Source organism: Homo sapiens, chromosome 6 (genome assembly GCF_000001405.40).
Source record: "Homo sapiens chromosome 6, GRCh38.p14 Primary Assembly".
NCBI lineage: Eukaryota > Metazoa > Chordata > Mammalia > Primates > Hominidae > Homo > Homo sapiens.
Genome location: NC_000006.12, coordinates 121,242,604 through 121,260,834, shown reverse-complemented (window position 1 = coordinate 121,260,834; position 18,231 = coordinate 121,242,604). Strand labels below are relative to the sequence as shown.

Here is an 18,231-nt window from a genome sequence, read left to right as displayed (position 1 = left end):
TCCCCCAGCGAGCTCAGATGGCTTAGACAGCAATCAGCAGCAGCAGTGGTGATGGCCACCCCTCCCTCCAGGAACTTGGCAGGCCTAGGATGATTCCAGCCGAGTGGCTGTTGAGAGTCTGCATGGCTCTGTGGTTTGGACTGAAGGCCTCAGTGGCGTGGGCTCACCAGTGGGATCTTCTGAACCATGGGCAGCACAGTTCCATGGAAAAGCACAGCTTCCCAGGCTGGGTAGCATGCTCAATCACCATCCCACTTGGCTGAGGGGAGGCAGCTCCTTGCCCTGTGTAGATCTAAGGTGGGCTGCCATACCACCCTGCTCTTCCTTCCTCTCCATGGGTCATGCCAGCCGCCTAGTCAGTTCTGATGATAAAACCTGGATACCTCAGTTGCCAGTGCAGGATTCAAATGCTGTTTTGGTTCTTTTCAGTGGGAGCCTCTGATGGCCGCTGCTTCTAGTTGGCCATTTGCCTCCTGCCCCCATTTTTTTTTGAGTGTAAGTTCTTTTTACCTACATAAAGATAATAAAGCTTTAATCTGTCATATTTTCTTTTTTCCTTCTAAATTGCTTTCTGTATTTCTCATCATGGTCTTTTTTAAATTGGAGGTTTATTCAAATATTTGAAAGTCAGTAAAAAGATGCTTGGAAACGATACAAGAAAGTGGGACTTGTAATTTGTGGTCTTTACTTTAGTGGGCCCTTTCTGTGGCATTTTGTTTGGGAACCCCTAATGTCAGTATATTTGGTTTCTCCTTTGTTCTTAAGGGATTCCATAGAGAAACCTCTTACTGTTAGCTGCCTGAGGAGTATAAGCCTAGTGGGAGAAGAAGGCTGGGTGGAAATGGTGATGGGTCTCAAGTGTTAGTATATAAACTTCGATTGAATCCTGTGATACCCTCTGTTGTCTTCTATTTCTTGAGCTCTGCCTACCTTTCAAGAAGCACACTGGGTTAGCTGCATGAAATGTTGGGGGGAATCTGGAGGTCAGACTCCTAAAACTGGCTTTCAGGCAGCTCTTCTGTTTTCAATTTCACTTTTACCCCCCAATTTAGAGATATTTGTTACCACCAATTCTTGAGTTTTTTGAGAGGTTCTATAAAATGAATCAGGTTTATTCTGTTTTTCACATTGTGGCTGATAATTCAGGTTTCTCTATGTCCTGAATTACTGCTTGTTATTTTGATTTTCAGGTTCTAAAATTTTACTACCACATCCTTTCCATTCTCCTTGTCTTTGGGGGTTTTATTGCCTACTGGAAAATCCTTTTACTTTGAATTTTAGTATTTATGAAGGGAGCAGTGAATGTATATGTTCAGTCTGCCATATTTCACTAGAGGTCTTTATCAATAACAACTGTTTTTAAAATTAGGAAGACTAATTCTTTGTCATGAGTTCCAAGACTTCTTTTTATTGTCTACCACTTAACCCTATTTAAGTGTTTTTTTCTATATAGATATTATTAATTTACATGTAGTCAAATTTTTCCCAATCATTATCTTTATGAGATCTGGGTTCTTTTTATTTTGTTTATTTTTTTGAGGTGGAGTCTCAGTCTGCCGCCCAGGTTGGAGTGCAGTTGTGCGATCTCTGCTCACTGCAACCTCCACCTCCTGGGTTCAAGCGATTCTCCTGCCTCAGCCTCCAGAGTAGCTGAGACTATAGGTGTGCGCCACCGTGCTGGGCTAATTTTTGTATTTTTAGTAGAGATGGAGTTTCGCCATGTTGTCCAGGCTGGTCTCGAACTCCTGACCTCAAGTGATCCACCCGACTTTGCCTCCGAAAGTGCTGGGATTACAGTCATGAACCACTGCACCTGGCTCTTTTTTCTTTCTTCTCTTTCTTTCTTTTTTTTTTTAATATTAAAGAAAGTCTCCCTCACATTGAAGTTAAACAGATAAGGCATAAAATGTTAGATTTTCTTCTGAATCTTCATGGTCCAGTTAAAAGTATAGATTCTGATTATTTATATTAATGGAAGACTGGAATCATCTCAAATGTTCAATAAGAAGAGGCTAGTTGATTGAATTATGTTTACACAATGGAGCACTGAGCTGTCTATAAAAGGGAATATTTTTGTGTACTTCTGTGGAGTTATTTTCAGGATATGTTGTTAAGTGAATAAAGGAACAGAAGAATGTTAATAGAATGCTACCTTTTGTATGATACAAAGAAATATGAATGATCATATTTGTTTATATTTTTAAAAGAGAATGATGAATGGACAAAGTGAAAACTAATGAAAATGGTTAATTTTAGGAGAGGGGAGAGAAAAATGTGGAGAAACAGATATGGAAACAAGATATCTAGGATTATACCTTGATTATACTTAGATTTGACTTTGGACTCATCTTGCTGTTTACATACTAAATGTAAAACAAAAAACAAAAAACAGAAAAAAAAAAGAAAAAGTGAAGCCACAGTATTTAAAAGCTGCAAACAAAGGGATTAGTAAGTTTAAATATCAATCGAGTTAGTGACATATTCATGCAGAGAAAAGAATTACTTCAAATAATCTAATTTTGATTGAAAATTTCCAGTGGGATATATTCTAAGGTTAAAAAAAATTCCTCAAAGTAATCTTAAACTGCATTTAGTGTATGTTTAGAAGTAATATTGCTGTTGCTGTTTTGAAATTATTATACATAATTATAACAGAGCAAATAAGTAATTATAGTAATGTCATAAGGAACTAAGATTTTTTAATATAAGAGAAAAAGATAAAAGTATAAAGTTAAAGAGGTTAAATAAGAAACCTAAATCTTCATAATAGAAATAAAATTATGAACTTATTTTTCTCTTGTTATATTTTTCCCAGCACTATCACTGGAATGGTAGCAACTACTTTACTGTGAGCTGTTATCTGTATTGTCTAAACATCTTTTTGTTCTAAGAAGAGACAGGAGTGGCTGATTCTGGGTCTGGGCCAGGAAGTATGGAGGATGATCCTGGGGTATCTTACCATTTTAGAAGCTATCTAAGACCAATGGGATAGTGTCAAAAGTACCCCAGAGCCAACCAGAAGGGGCCTCCTACTGGCTTAAGATGGACAATTTGAGAATCAGAAAAATAATGACTGCAATGGATTGACATACATAAAGTATATAAAAAAAAACATGGGTTTGAAAAGGCACTAAAACAGAAAACAAACAAAAAATACACTTTATCGGTTACCTGCTGAAGTCACTAGGACACCAACTTGTTAGTATGCAAATTGATAAAAAGAAAATTTAAGCATTTTTTTCCAGCCTTTTCTTTACAAACTGTATTTTAGTGTAACTAAAATGTTACTGAGGAAAAGTTCTTCACAGAAGAATTCTAGCTAATAAATGCAAACTAAATGCTATAATCAGAAAAATCGTAATTTGGTAATCCTTAGTGAAATAGTGGATGTAGGCAATGATCATTAATGGATGCTAAAATCATTAGGTGAAAGGTTGATGGGGAGGACTACGTACTAGAGAGGTCAGTGTGATACCATCTGACCAGTGATCTTTAGCACCACTAAAATTGGGACATCCAGATAGTGCTTCATGCAGTAGGAGGTAGACAGCGGCAACCAACTATGAAGTTATTTTACCAAGGAAAAAAAAAGGAAACGAAACAAAAGAAGTTAAACTTTAAATAATTCTCTAGATCTGATGATCACTTTATAGGATATATGGAGAACTAGAGAAAAAAGTTAAATGACACCATGGTAAAGTAGTTATCCAAATAAACATGACTGTTTTTCCAACAAATCAGTGGCATAGGGAAAAATATTAGGACCTGTAACTACAACAATCTAATGCGCACCATTGAACTTGTGTAAATTCTGAGCATTTATTAAATACTTATCTATTATTACTTTTAAAAGTGTCTCAGCCGGCCGGGCATGGTGGCTCACACCTGTAATCCCAGCACTTTGGGAGGCTGAGGCGGGTTTATCACCTGAGGTCAGGAGTTCGAGACCAGTCTGGCCAATATGGTGAAACCCCATCTCTACTAAAAAAGTACAAAAATTAGCCAGGCATGGTAGCATGCCCCTGTAATCCCAGCTACTCAGGAGGCTGAGGCAGGAGAATCGCTTGAACCCAGCAGGCAGAGTGAGCCAAGACCGCGCCATTGCACTCCAGTCTGGTTGACAGAGGACACTCCATCTCAAAAAAAAAAAGAAAAAAAAAAGTTTCTCAGCCTTTGATATAGGGGAACTAAGTCCTGTTAATGGGATGGGGAATGTGTCAATAAGTGCTAGGAATGGAGCATTTAGGATTATGTTTTCACTGTAGAATTGACAATACTTATCTACATGGCTGTGGTCTCAATGCGTCTATAATCTTTTCATTGTAAAGTTTTCCTGCTTTTTCCCTGTCTCTGTATTTTTTTCCTTCCATCCCACGGAAACTGTTCTCATTACTAGACATCTGTGCATGGGTGGGAACGTGAATATTGACATGTCTGAGAAAAGTTAGAGGAGGACTAAGTTTTTGTGACAAGACTAGCCTTTTTGGTAGAGCTTTATGAAGTCAAGATTAATATAACCTTGGAATCACTTTCAGGTATCATCTTTTAGTCCTACAGGTGCTCATATAATTGCCCAGTTTTCGAAAAAACTTCTCGATGAAGATATTTCTATATTTTCTGGATCAGAAATGTTGCCTGTGGTTAAAGGAGCTTTTATTTCTGTGTGTCGTCACATATATAGTACATGTGAAGGTTTGCAGGTGTTAATCACTTATAATTTGCATGAATCTATAGCAAAGGCATGGAAAAAGGTAAGTATTTTCAAGCTTCGTTTTTTCTCCCTGCAAATCTTTATTTCAAATATAAGCACCATTATAGTGTTGTACTTTGGATGAAATATTTAACTGGGGCAAATATGACTTCTTTAGCATCACAGTACTCTAGGGGACATAATGCATCTTAATTTGGCACAGGATGACTGCAGTATTTCCTTTCCCAGTGGGACAAAGTTCTAAGACTTAAATGGGTACTACAGATTCTTTTCTTCTCGTAGATGAGGCTTTAGGTTAATTTTCCTTACATAGACTAACACTCTTTGGGAGTTATTTTAAAGTAATTTTTAGAGACAGCTGGGTTTTTGTTGTGGATACTAGAGATCGTAATGTAGCAATAGCCATATATGTGTATATCAGTGGACAACTAAGTCTTTTCCCCCCATTTGATATGGTTTATTTGTAAAATATGTTATATGATATTTCATTAACAACCAAATAATTTAAAATTTGAAGATAATTTTGATTTTAATAACATTAAGGATAAAACAAAAATGCAACATAAGAAATCTTATGGGTAGTGCTATCAGTAAGAAATATAAAATATAATTATAAATATAATTATAAAATATAATTATAAATATAATTATAAAATATAAATATATGGCTAGTGCTATCAGTAAGCAATATAAATTATTCTACTATTTTTTAGACAAGTTTGCTATCAGAAAGAATTCCTACTCCAGTAGAGGGTTCTGATTCTGTTTCTTCAGTAAGCCAGGAATCCCAAAACATGTAAGTACAATTGATGAAAGTCATGCATTTATTATATTTGCTGAAATAAATTTAAAATTATTAAAATGTAATAGAATACTATGGCAAAAATGTTTTACAGGATGGTAAATGTATATATACAGCTTCAAGGAAAATTAGTTTGGAAAAACTTTAGAGATCATGTAATACTCATAACCTTTTTAAAATCTAACAATATTTATTATACTTGTTTCATTCTGTTTTTACATCTTAGATTAGGAAATGTGATATTATCGTGTTTCCAGAAAATTTGGAGAATTACCAAATACCAAAGTTGGAAAGTTAACTGGAGAGTTTAGTAGAAATAATATGTTCTCAAATGCCAATGAAGTCTATTTATATTTAAAATATTATTTTTCTAAAAGTGGTGGGAGTACATTTCAGTTAGGTTTTGGCTTTGGAAAATTATTTAAATCAATATTTATATCAAATTTTAATTTATATGTCTCCATGTTTCTTTACAGATATCAGTAGGATATGGAGTCAGATTAATGGGGAAAATAGATTTTTTGAACTAAACTCGGGCAACATGTTTTTCTGGGTTCTGTTCTTATTTTATAATCAAATATTGGCATAGTCTAAAATGATAATAATTAGGGAGAACTTGAAGGGCTATTCTTTGTTAAAGAGATGTTGAAGTGGAATTTGAATTTTTTTAAGGTAGGTATAGTTTAACTTACAAAACAATCAAAAAGCCTTCTGCATTTCCTTAACAGTATAATGGTTCAACAAATAGTTAATTCCCTAAACATTTTCTATAATTTATTTTCTAATATAGTTGTCACACAATGAGCTGCTTTGTTTTTTGCATTAAAGGGTGACAAAAATGCATTTCTATAGTTTATTTTTGAGGTAATTTTTAGATCTCATTTTTTAATAATTAATTTTCATTTTTAATTTCAGTAGTGATTTCAATTTTTATTTCAATAGTTTTTGGGGTACAGGTGCTTTTGGTTACATGGATGCATTCTTCAGTGGTGATTTCTGAGCTTTTTGTGCATCCATCACTCAAGCAGTGTACACTGTACCCAATATGTAATTTTTTATCCCTTACCCTCCTTCCAAATTTTCCTTCTGTACCCGCAGAGTCCATTATATCATGCTTATGCCTTTGCATCCTCAGAGCTTAGCTCCCACTTATAAGTGAGAACATATGACATTTGGATTTTTATTTCTGAGTTACTTAACTTAGAAAAATCGGCCTCCAGCTCCATCCAACTTGGTGCAAAAGACATTATTTCCTTTTTTTTTTATGACTGAGTAGTATTCCATGGCATATATGTACCACATTTTCTTTATTCACTTGTTGGTTGATGGGCACTTAGATTGGTTTCATATCTTTGCAATTGTGAATTGTGCTCCTATAAACATGCTTGTGCCTATGTCTTTTTCATATAATGTCTTCTTTTCCTTTGAGTGAGATACCCAGTAGTGGGATTGCTGGATCAAATTGTAGTTCTACTTTTAGTTCTTTAAGGAATCTCCATACTGTTTTCAATAGTGGTCGTACTAGTTTACATTCCCACCAGCAGTATAAAAGTGTCCCACCACATGCATACCAACATCTATTGTTTTTTTGACTTTTTTTTTTGAGACGGAATCTCGCTCTGTCGCCCAGGCTGGAGTGCAGTGGAGTGATCTCGGCTCACTGAAAGCTCCGCCTCCCAGATTGACGCCATTCTCCTGCCTCAGCCTCCTGAGGAGCTGGGACTACAGGCGCCCACCACCACGCCCGGCTAATGTTTTTGTATTTTTAGTAGAGACGGGGTTTCACCATGTTAGCCAGGATGGTCTTGATCTTCTGACCTCGTGATCCGCCCGCCTCGGCCTCCCAAAGTGCGGGGATTACAGGCGTGAGCCACCGTGCCGGCCTTGACTTTTTAATTACGGCCTTTTTTTCTTGCGGGAATAAGTGGTTTTAATTTGCATTTCCCTGATGATTAGTGATGTTGAACATTTTTTTTCAAGTGCTCGTTGGCTGTTTGTACGTTTTGAGAATTGTTTCTTCATGTCCTTTGCCCACTTTTTAATGAGATTATTTGTTTTTTGTTTTCTTGCTGATTTCTTTGGCTTCTTTGTAGATTCTGGAAATTAGTCCTTTGTTAGACATTGCATAGTTTGTGAATATTTTCTCCCACATTGGGTTGTGGTTACTCCGCTTATTTTTTTTGCTGTGCAGAAGCTCTTTAGTTTAATTATGTCCCATTTATTTATTTTTGGTTTTGTTGCAATTGCTTTTGAGGTCTTAGTCATGAATTCTTTGCCTAAGCTAATGCCCAGAAGAGTTTTTCCAATGTTATCTTCTAGAATTTTTATGATTTCATGTCTTAGATTAAGTCTTTGATCCATCATGTGTTGATTTTTATATAAGGTGAGAGATGAGGATCTGGTTCTTTCTTCTACATGTGGCTTGCCAGTTTTCCCAGCACCATTTATTAAATAATGTCCTTTCCCCAATTAATGTTTTTTTCTTATGCTTTGTTGAAGATCAGTTGGCTGTAAGTATTTGGCTTTATTTCTGGGTTCTCTATTCTGTTCCATTGGTCTACATGTCTGTTTTTATTTTTTTATTTATTATACATTAAGTTCTGGGATACATGTGCAGAATATGCAGGTTTGTTACATAGGTATACATGTGCCATGGTGGTTTGCTGCACCCATCAACCCGTCATCTAGGTTGTAATTCCTGCATATATTGGGTATTTGTCCTAATGCTCTCCCTCCCCTGGCTCTCCACCCCCTGAGAGGCCCTGGTGTGTGATATTCTCCTCCCTGTGTCCATGTGTTCTCATCGTTTGACTCCTACTTATGAGTGAGAACATGCAGTGTTTGGTTTTCTGTTCCTGTGTTAGTTTGCTGAGAATGATGGTTTCCAGCTTCATCCATCTCCCTGCGAAGGACATGAACTCATTCATTTTATGGCTGTATTTCATGTTGTGTATGTGCCACATTTTCTTTATCCAGTCTGTCATTTTAATGGGCATTTGCATTAGTTCCAAGTCTTAGTTATTGTGAACAATGCTGCAATAAACATATGTGTGCATGTGTCTTTATAGTAGAATGATTCATAATCCTTCGGGTATATACCCAGTAATGGGATTGAGGGGTCAAATGGTATTTCTGGTTCTAGATTCTTGAGGAATCGTCACACTGTCTTCTACAATGGTTGAACTAATTTACACTCCCGCCAACAGTGTAAAATCGTCCCTATTTCTCGACATCCTCTCTAGCACCTGTTTTTTCCTGACTTTTTAATGATTGTCATTCTAACTGGCATGAGATGGTATCTCACTGTGGTTTTGATTTGCATTTCTCTAATGACCAGTGGTGATGAACTTTTTTTCATATGTTTCTTGGCCGCATAAATATGTTTCATATGTTTGTTGGCTGTCTTCTTTTCAGAAGTGTCTGTTCATATCCTTTGCCCACTTTTTGATGGGGTTGTTTTTTCTTGTAAATTTCCTTAAGTTGCTTATAGATTCTGGATATTAGACCTTTGTCAGATGGATAGATGGCAAAAATTTTCTCCCATTCTGTAGGTTGCCTGTTCACTCTGATGATAGTTTCTTTTGCTTTGCAGAAACTCTGTAGTTTAATTAGATCCCATTTGTCAATTTTGGCTTTTGCTGCAATTGCTTTTGGTGTTTTAGTCATGAAGTTTTTGCCCATGCCTATGTCCTGAATGGTATTGCCTAGGTTTTCTTCTATAGTTTTTATGGTTTTAGATTTTATGTTTAAGTCTTTAATCCATCTTGAGTTAATTTTTGTATAAGGTGTAAGGGAGGCATCTAGTTTCAGTTTTCTGCATATTGCTACTAGTTTTCCCAGCACCATTTATTAAGTAGGGAATCCTTTCCCCATTGCTTGTTTTTATCAGGTTTGTTGAAGATCACATGGTTATGGATATGTGGTGTTATCTCTGAGGCCTCTGTTCTGTTCCATTGGTCTATATATCTCTTTTGGTTATCATAGCCTTGTAGTATAGCTTGAAGTCAGGTAGCATGATGCCTCCAGCTTTGTTCTTTTTGCTTGGGATTGTCTTGGCTAAGTGGGCTCTTTTTTGGTTCCATATGAAATTTAAAGTAGTTTTTTTTTAATTCTATGAGGAAAGTCAATGGTAGCTTGATGGGAATAGCATTGAATCAAATAACTTTGGGCAGTATGACCATTTTCACAATATTGATTCTTCCTATTCATGAGCATGGAATGTTTTCCCATTTGTTTGTCTCCTCTCTTATTTCCTTGAGTAGTAGTTTGTAGCTCTCCCTGAAGAGGTCCTTCATGTCCTTTGTAAGTTGTATTCCTAGGTATTTTATTTTCCTCGCAGCAGTTGTGAATGGGAGTTCACTCATGATTTGACTCTCTGTCTATTATTGGTGTATAGGAATGCCTGTGATTTTTGCACGTTGATTTTGTATCCTGAGACTTTGCTGAAGTTGCTTATCAGCTTAAAGAGTTTTTGGGCTGAGGTGATGGAGTTTTCTAAATATATAATCATGTCATCTGCAGAGAAAATTTGACTTCCTCTCTTTCTATTTGAATACCTTTTATTTCTTTCTCTTGCCTGATTGTTTTGGCCAGAACTTCCAATACTATGTTCAGTAGGAGTGGTGAGAGAGACCACCCTTGTCTTGTGCCAGTTTTGAGAGGGAATGCTTCCAGTTTTTGCCCATTCAGTATGATCTTGGCTGTAAGTTTATCATACATAGCTCTTATTATTTTGAGATATGTTCCATCAATACCTAGTTTATTGAGAGTTTTTAGCATAAAGGGGTGTTGAATTTTATCGAAGGCCTTTTCTGCATCTGTTGAGATAATCATGTGATTTTTGTCATTGGTTCTGTTTATTTGATGGATTACTTTTATTTATTTGCATATGTTGAACCATCCTTGCTTCCCAGGAATGAAGCCGACTTGATCATGGTGGATAAGCTTTTTGATATGCTGCTGGATTTGGTTTGTCAGTATTTTATTGAGGATTTTCACATCCATGTTCATCAGGGATATTGGCCTGAAATTTTCATTTTTTATTGTGTCTCTGCCAGGTTTTGGTATCAGGATGATGCTGGCCTCATAAAATGAGTTAGGGAAGAGTCCCTCTATTTCTATTGTTTGGAATATTGCAGAAGGAATGGTACCAGCTTCTCTTTGTATCTCTGGTAGAATTCGTACTTGCCTATTTTTATACCAGTACCATGCAGTTTTGGTAACTATAGCCTTGTATAATAATTTGAAGGTGGGTAATGAGATGCCTTCAGATTTGTTCTTTTTGCTTAGTTTTGCTTTGGCTGTGTGGGCTCTTTATTGGCTCCATATGAATTTTGAGATTTTTTTTTCTAGTTTTGTGAAGAATGATGGTGGTATTTTTATGGGAATTGCATTGAATCTGTGGATTGCTTTTGGCAGTATGGTCATTTTCATAATATTGATTCTACCCATCTATGAGCATGGGATGTGTTTTCATTTGTTTGTGTCATCTGTGATATCTTTCAACAGTGTTTTGTAGTTTTTTTTTGTAGAGATCTTTACTTCCTTGGTTAAGTATATTCCTAAAGTTTGTTTTGTTTTGGTTTTTGTTTTTGTTTTTTAGCTGTTGTAAAAGGGATTTAGTTTTTAATTTGATTCCCAGCTTGGTTGTTGCTGATGTATAGCAGTGCTACTGATTTGTGTACTTTGATTTTGTATCCTGAATCTTGAATGAATTTATTTATCAGATCTGGGAGCTTTTTGGATGACTCTTCAGAGTTTTTGAGGTATATGATCATATAATCAGCAGAAAGTGACAGTTTGACTTCCTCTTTTCTAGTTTGGATGCCCTTTATTTCTTTTTCTTGTGTGATTGCTCTGGCTAGAACTTCTAGTGCTATGTCAAATAGAAGTGGTGAAAGTGGGTATCCTTGTCTTTTTTCAGCTCTCAGGGGGAATGCTTTCAACTTTTTCCGATTCTCTATGATGTTGGCTGTGGGTTTGTTCTGTATGGCTTTTATTACTTTGAGGTAAGTCCTGTCTATGCCTATTTTGTTAAGGGTTTTAATCTAAAGGGGTGCTAGATTTTATCACATGCTTTTTTTGTTTTTATTGAGATAATAATAATAATAATAATTTTATTGTTTTTAATTCCGTTTATGTGATATATCATATTTACTGATGTGTGTATGTTAAACCATCCCTACATTGTGATCATGATGTATTACCTATCTTGATCATGGTGTATTACCTATTTGATATGTTGTTAGATTTGATTAGCAAGTATTATTTTGAGGATTTTTTTGCATCTGTGTTTATCAGAGATATTGGTCTGTAGTTTTCTTTTTATGTTATGTCCTTTTGTGTTTTGGTATTAGGGTGATACTGACTTCATAGATAGATTTAGGAAGGATTCTCTCTTTATCTTTTGGAATAGTTTCAGTAGGATTGGTACTGTTTCTCTTTGAATGTCTGATAGAATTCAGCTATGAATTTATCTAGTCCTGGACTTTTTTCTGTTGGCAGTTTTTTTTAATTGCTGATTAAATCTTGTTGCTGTTATTGGTCTGTTCAGGGTTTCTGTTTCTTCTTAATTTAATCTAGGATGGTTGTATATTTCCACAAATTTATTTATCTCCTCTAGATTTTCTAGTTTGTGCACATAAAGGTGTTCATAGTAGCCTTGAATGATCTTTTATATTTCTGTGATATTGTCTGTAATAACTCCAGTTTTATTTCTAATTGAGCTTATTTGGATCTGCTTTTTTCTTGGTTAATCTTGCTAATGGTTATCAGTTTTATCTTTTCAGAAAACTAGCTTTTTCCTTCATTTATCTTTTGTATTTTTTTCTTTCAATTTCATTTAATTCTCCTCTGATCTTGGTTATATCTTTTCTTCTGCTGGGTTTGGGTTTAGTTTGTTCTTGTCTCTCTAATTCCTTGAGGTGTGACATTAGGTTGTCTATTTGTGCTCTTTCAGACTTTTTGATGTAGGCATTTAATGCTATGAACTTTCCTTTTAACACTGCTTTTGTTGTATCCCAGGCGTTTTGACAAGTTGTGTCACTATTATCATTTATTTCAAATGATTTTTTAATATCTATGTTGATTTTGTTAAACTATAAATCATTCAAGAAAAGATTGTTTAATTTCCATGTATTTGTATAGTTTTGAGGGTTCCTTTTGGAGTTGATTTCCAATTTTATTCCACTGCAGTCTGAGAGAGTACTTGGTATAATTTTGATTTTCTTAAATTTGCTGAGACTTGTTTTGTGGCTTATCGTGTGGTCTATCTTGGGGAATGTTCCATATGCTGATGAATAGAATGCATATTCTGCAGTTGTTGGGTAGAATGTTTTGTAAATATCTGTTAAGTCCATTTGTTGTAGAGTATAGTTTAAGTCCATTTTTTCTTTGTTGACTTTCTGTCTTGATGACCTGTCTAGTGCTGTCAGTGGAGTATTAAAGTCTCCCAATATTCCTGTGTTGTTGTCAATCTCATTTCTTAGGTCTAGTAGTAATGGTTTTATAAATGTGGGAGCTCCAGTGTTAGGTGCATATAAATTTAAGATTTTAATATCTTCCTGTTGTACTAATCCATTATTGTATAATGTCCTTCTTTGTCTTTTTTTTTTTTTTTTTTTTTTTGCTTTAAAGCCTGTTTTATCTGATATAAGAATAGCTACTTCTACTTGGTTTTGGTTTCTATTTGTGTGGAATGTCTTTTTTCACCCCTTTACCTCAAGTTTATGTGAGTCATGTGTTAAGTGAGTCTCTTGAAGACAGCAGATATTTTGCTGGTGGTTATCCATTCTCCTACTCTGTTTCTTTGAAGTGGAGCATTTAGTCCATTTACTTTCAACATTAATATTGAGATGTGAGGTACTTTTTTATTCATCATGTTAGTTTTTGCCTTGATACTTTTTTTTTTCATTGTGTTATGTTTTATAAGCCCTGTGAGATTTATGCCTTTGGAGGTTCTATTTTGGTGTATATCAAGATTTATTTCAAGATTTAGAACTCCTTTTAGCATTTCTTGTAGTGCTTGTTTGGTGGTAGCAAATTTAATTAGCATTTGTTTGTCTGAAAAAGATTTTATCTGTTTTTCATTTATGAAGCTTAGTTTTGCTGGATACAAAATTATTGGCTGACAATTATTTTGCTTAAGGGAGCTATAAATAAGACCCCAGTTCCTTCTGGCTTGTAAGGTTTCTACTGAGAAATCTACTGTTAGTCTGATAGGTTTTCTTTTACAGGTTACCTGATGCTTTTTTCTCAGAGCTCTTAAGATTCTGTCCTTCATCTTGACTTTAGATAACCTTATGACTATGTGCCTTGGTGGTGATCTTTTCCCAATGAATTTTCCAGGTGTTCTTTGAGCTTCTTTTCCTCAATTATTCCCTAAAATGAGTTTTCCAAACTTTTAGACTTGTCTTCTGCCCCAGGAACACCAGTTATTCATAGGTTTGGCCATTTTACATAATCCCATATTTCTTGGAGAGTTTTTCTTTGTCTTTGTCTGATTGTGTTAATTTGAAAACCTTTTCTTTGAGCTCTCATATTCTTTCTTCTGCTTGTTCTAGTCTGTTGTTGAAACTTTCCAGTGTATTTTTTATGTCCCAGTGTGTCTTTCATTTCCAGAAATTGTGATTTTTTTCTTTATTATATCTATTTCTCTGGAAAAGTTTTCTTTCATATACTGAATTGTTTTTTAAATTTCTTTAACTTGTTTTTTGCATTTCTCTGTTATCTCCTTGAGTAGCTTAATAGTCAACCTCCCGAATTATTTACCTGGCATTTCAGAGATTTCTTCTTGGTTTGGATCCATTGCTGGGGCCTACTGTGACCTTTTGGGGGTGTTACAGAACCCTTTTATGTCAAATTACCAGAATTACTTTTTTCATTTGGGTAGACTGTTTCTTCAACTTGTTTTTTGAATTTATTTTTGATCGGATTAGAAAAATTTTTTTTCTCTTAAGGATCTGACTTTAATGTGTATTGTTCATTTTAGCCTAATTTAATTCTTCGTGCTTTTAGGTTGAAGAGTCGGTGTGATTTCTTTAGTTATGGAGAATCTTTGTGCACTGTCTTTCCCAGATGCCAGTTGTAGTAGTTATATACTTGGTGTGTGGGCAAGTTCACTGTCTCCGGCAGGACTGGAATGGCAGGGATCTCCTGAGGCTTATCTCATTCTCCTGTGTTGTACACTTTATTTATTTATTTAATTTTTCTCCAGTATTTTATTTACTGAGGATTTGGGCTTCAGGTTAATAGGAGAGGCACCCCTGGGTATGCACCAGTTGTAGCTAAGGCAGGTGAGTAGATGTAATACCCAATAGTGGTCAGAGGTCCCAGCCATGATGGTGGTGACTGGGGGAGCTCTCAATTAGATGTACTGAGGTTTTATTAGGGCAAAGGGTAGGAGCTACCTCAGCTTCCCTCCCAGGCCAGCAGGAAATCTATCCACCTTACAGCCTCACAACTGTTCCAGTGTTCAGCTATTCAGACCAGACACACACCTCTTTTCATCTGTGGGAATGTTGATGTTTCAAGTAGGGAGTAATAGTCACTCTCCCTCTTGTGCAGGCCTGAATCTGGGGATGGGGGGAGGGGAGTTTGCTCCTCCCGTGGGGCTGAAGTCACCCTGAATTGTTCTAGGAAGGCTGTCTGTAGGTGCATCCATGCTCCGTTCCCATGAAAGAAGGCTCAGTTTTGTCTGCAGTAATGTACCGGGGGGACCAAGGATCCCTTCTCCAAGACCATTATCACAGAGGCTGTCTGCCTATTGGATAGAGAGGTAGACTTTCCTTACTGTGCCCAGCACTGCAATTATGTTTGTGATGTAAGAAATTTCCCACCAGCAGAAAGATCTGGGACTCAAGGCCTGCCATTCAGATTCTTTCATCCCACAGGGTGTTCCCTTGATGTGGTGCTCTCCTCCTTACTCTAAGAATGGGACTTCCTGAGAGCTGGACTGCAGTGATTGTTATTGCTCTTCTGGGTCTAGCCACCCAGTAGGGCTGCCAGGCTCCAGGCTGGTGCTGTGAATATCTGCAAAGGATTCAGTGATGTGACCTGTCTTCAAGTCTCCCAGCAGTGGATACCAGCACCTGCTCTGGTAGATGTAGACTCTCTGATTCCTTGATTGTAGATAGTCTTAATGTGCTGGCTTTCTTGAAGGTGGGTTATAATTGTAGTGATTTGTCATGTGGACAGACTCAGGACTTCTGGGTAGCCAGGGTGTTGCAGGCAGTGGTGTTAGCTGAAGTCCCACAGCCATTTTCTCCTTCCTAGGCACAGTGTTACACTGCAGTGAGGTGCTGTAATGGCCTGAGTTTGTTGGCCTCCAGCCAGGAAGTGGCACTTGCAAGAGGAGTACCAGCTGTGATAGTAGCAGTGAGTTTTAAGTTTGCTTTAAGTTGGCCAGGACAAGTGTTCTGATTTCTTAGGTGATGGGCAAGGCCATAAAGCTCCCAAAAGTTTATGTCCCTTGTGTTAAGCTATATATTCTTTATAACGTATTGGACAATAACTTCCAGAAAGACCTCTCCCACAAATTGGCTCCCAATGGACCCTGCATAACCCATATCATATAAATTTAGCATACTGTATTGCCATACCATATTTACTTATTTGTATTCTACACTACATAATATGCTCATGTGTATCTTCAGAACTCAGCAGAGCACTTGGCCCAATAAGTAATTTAATAAGTGAGTAGAAAATAAGTGCATGAATAAAAATGAAAAAGTGACAAATCATAGTAGAGGATTTCAAACTAAAAACACAGCACAGCAGAGGCAGTTATACTCCCCTCTGGAACTTTACCTCAGTGGCCTGAAAACCACCCCCACAGCAGGTCCCACCTAAGGAGTCTGAGCTCAGACCCTGCCCCCACTTAGTGGTATTTCTCCACCTGCCCTGGTAGCTTAACACAAAGGACATATGTGTACTCTTTCACGTCATATAATGATACAACTTGGAAGTTTTTGCTTCTGTTTTCTTTGGGAGGACTCACATAGACTTCTTTTATTGATTCATTTTCTTTAATGGGTAATGTCTCATTCTGATTTTCTATTTCTGCTTGAATGACTTATGATTACATTTTCTAAAAAATAACAATACTTTTTTACTTGTATATTTATTTATTATATAAATTTTTAAAAAATATTTGTGTGTGATTTAAAAGTAATTGTTTTCCTGCTGTAATTATTTCCCCTTTTTGGATTCTTAGTATTTTTTGTCCTTTTCTCCCCTTCTTGACCAATTTATTGCATTAGTTTATGCAGACTAGGTTTTGGTCTTGTTAATGCTTGCTTTTCTCCCTCTCTTACTCCCTCGTTTGCCTTTATAGTAGAGGAAAGTAAGTGGAAGGGGTTTGAGAATGGATGTTGAGAGAAGCAATCTATATTAACTGTAGCAATGAATACATTTTGATATGTGATACTTCCATTATTAAGCTGTTCTAAATATTTTTGTAATTTCTATTTTCATTTTACTCCTTAATTCATTAAATATTGGAAGTGCGTCTGTGTTTTTTTTTTGGTCTTCAAACATAGTTGTTTTTACTATTTTATTTTGTTGACTTTTATATATATTCTTTTTAGAGAACATGGATTTCATGTTATGTATGTTTTTAGGTTGGTTGAACTTACTTTGTGACCCATTACAGGGTCAGTTGAAAAAAAAATCTGTCTGCTTGAAAAGACAATATATTCTTCATTGGATGCTGATATTGTTTGTGTGTGTTTGTGTGTGTGTGTGTTTTGTTACTAAAACTTTTAATATCTCTACTAATATTTTGATATATAATCTCTCACTATAGGGTAGATTTGTCATGATCCAAAGTCATGATGCCTTGTCTTTTATTTAGGAAAGGAATCTCTTCTCATCAGATTTTTTGTGAACATCCTATTGGACTTTTCATATGGCCACCTCTGGCCAGATGGTGGTTGGTGAAAAAGTGGCTGTAGATGGGGATTGGGTCAGCCAGTCAATATTATCAGTTACACATAGTTTTCCTTCCCCCAACCCTTTTACTTTCTACTGTTCTGAGTAGCAAATTTTGTATTTTTACCCAGCCTCCAAATTTCTCTATATTTTTTATTAGGTGAGTTTAGTTTTTTTTACATTTTTGAGATATTCATATGTTTGGGGTTATTTTCTTATTTTGTGTTTTGTAATTATATTTTCTTTGCTTCTTTCCTCTATTGCTTTGTGTTAGATGGATAAAATTTTCATTATACCTATTTTTTCCTTCTCTGCTGGTTTTGAATTTATAAGTTGTATTTCCATTTTTTAAAAAGTGGTTATTCCTAAGACATTAATGTATATATTTATATATATTTTCAAAGAAAGTAAAAAGTAATTAGGTATTTGTGTCATGTTTTCAAATGCAACATGGGTTTTAGCACACTTGGACTAAGCATTGATTCTCCAAACATCCATAATTCCCAGTCTTATAGTTATCTAGAATTTTAGTTTTATAAATATATGTTGATCTTTCTTATAGAAGTGTTCTGAGAAAAAATATCTTTCCCCAAAAGTAAAATAAATTAACACCTATGAAAATCGAAAAGAGATAATATCTATCACGTGCTTTTGAAAGCAGAAGACAGATACTTTATAATGAAAAGAAAGTACAGAAATAATGGGGTGTTGAGGTTTGGAGAATTCATGCACAGCAGAATTTTAATAGGAAAATAGAAGGAAATTAGTGTGTGGATGAGAGAACCTGGGT

At 35.8% G+C, this 18,231-nt stretch overlaps 1 protein-coding gene across 25 annotated transcripts in view; it reads left to right on the top strand.

Annotated features, from left to right (window-relative positions):
- TBC1D32 (TBC1 domain family member 32) overlaps positions 1–18,231 on the top strand; it is a 255,236-nt gene that overhangs the window by 73,895 nt on the left and 163,110 nt on the right. For 24 of the 25 annotated variants that reach the window (NR_104452.2, XR_942346.3, XM_047418311.1 and 21 more), the window contains 2 exons: positions 4,550–4,751; positions 5,425–5,507. Coding sequence is in view for 23 of the 25 variants with exons in the window: in XM_047418311.1 (XP_047274267.1) it covers positions 4,550–4,751; positions 5,425–5,507 (285 nt within the window). In the remaining 2 variants the exon portion in view is untranslated. The remainder of the gene's footprint in view (positions 1–4,549; positions 4,752–5,424; positions 5,508–18,231) is intronic. The other variant, XM_017010404.1, reaches the window with a different exon arrangement.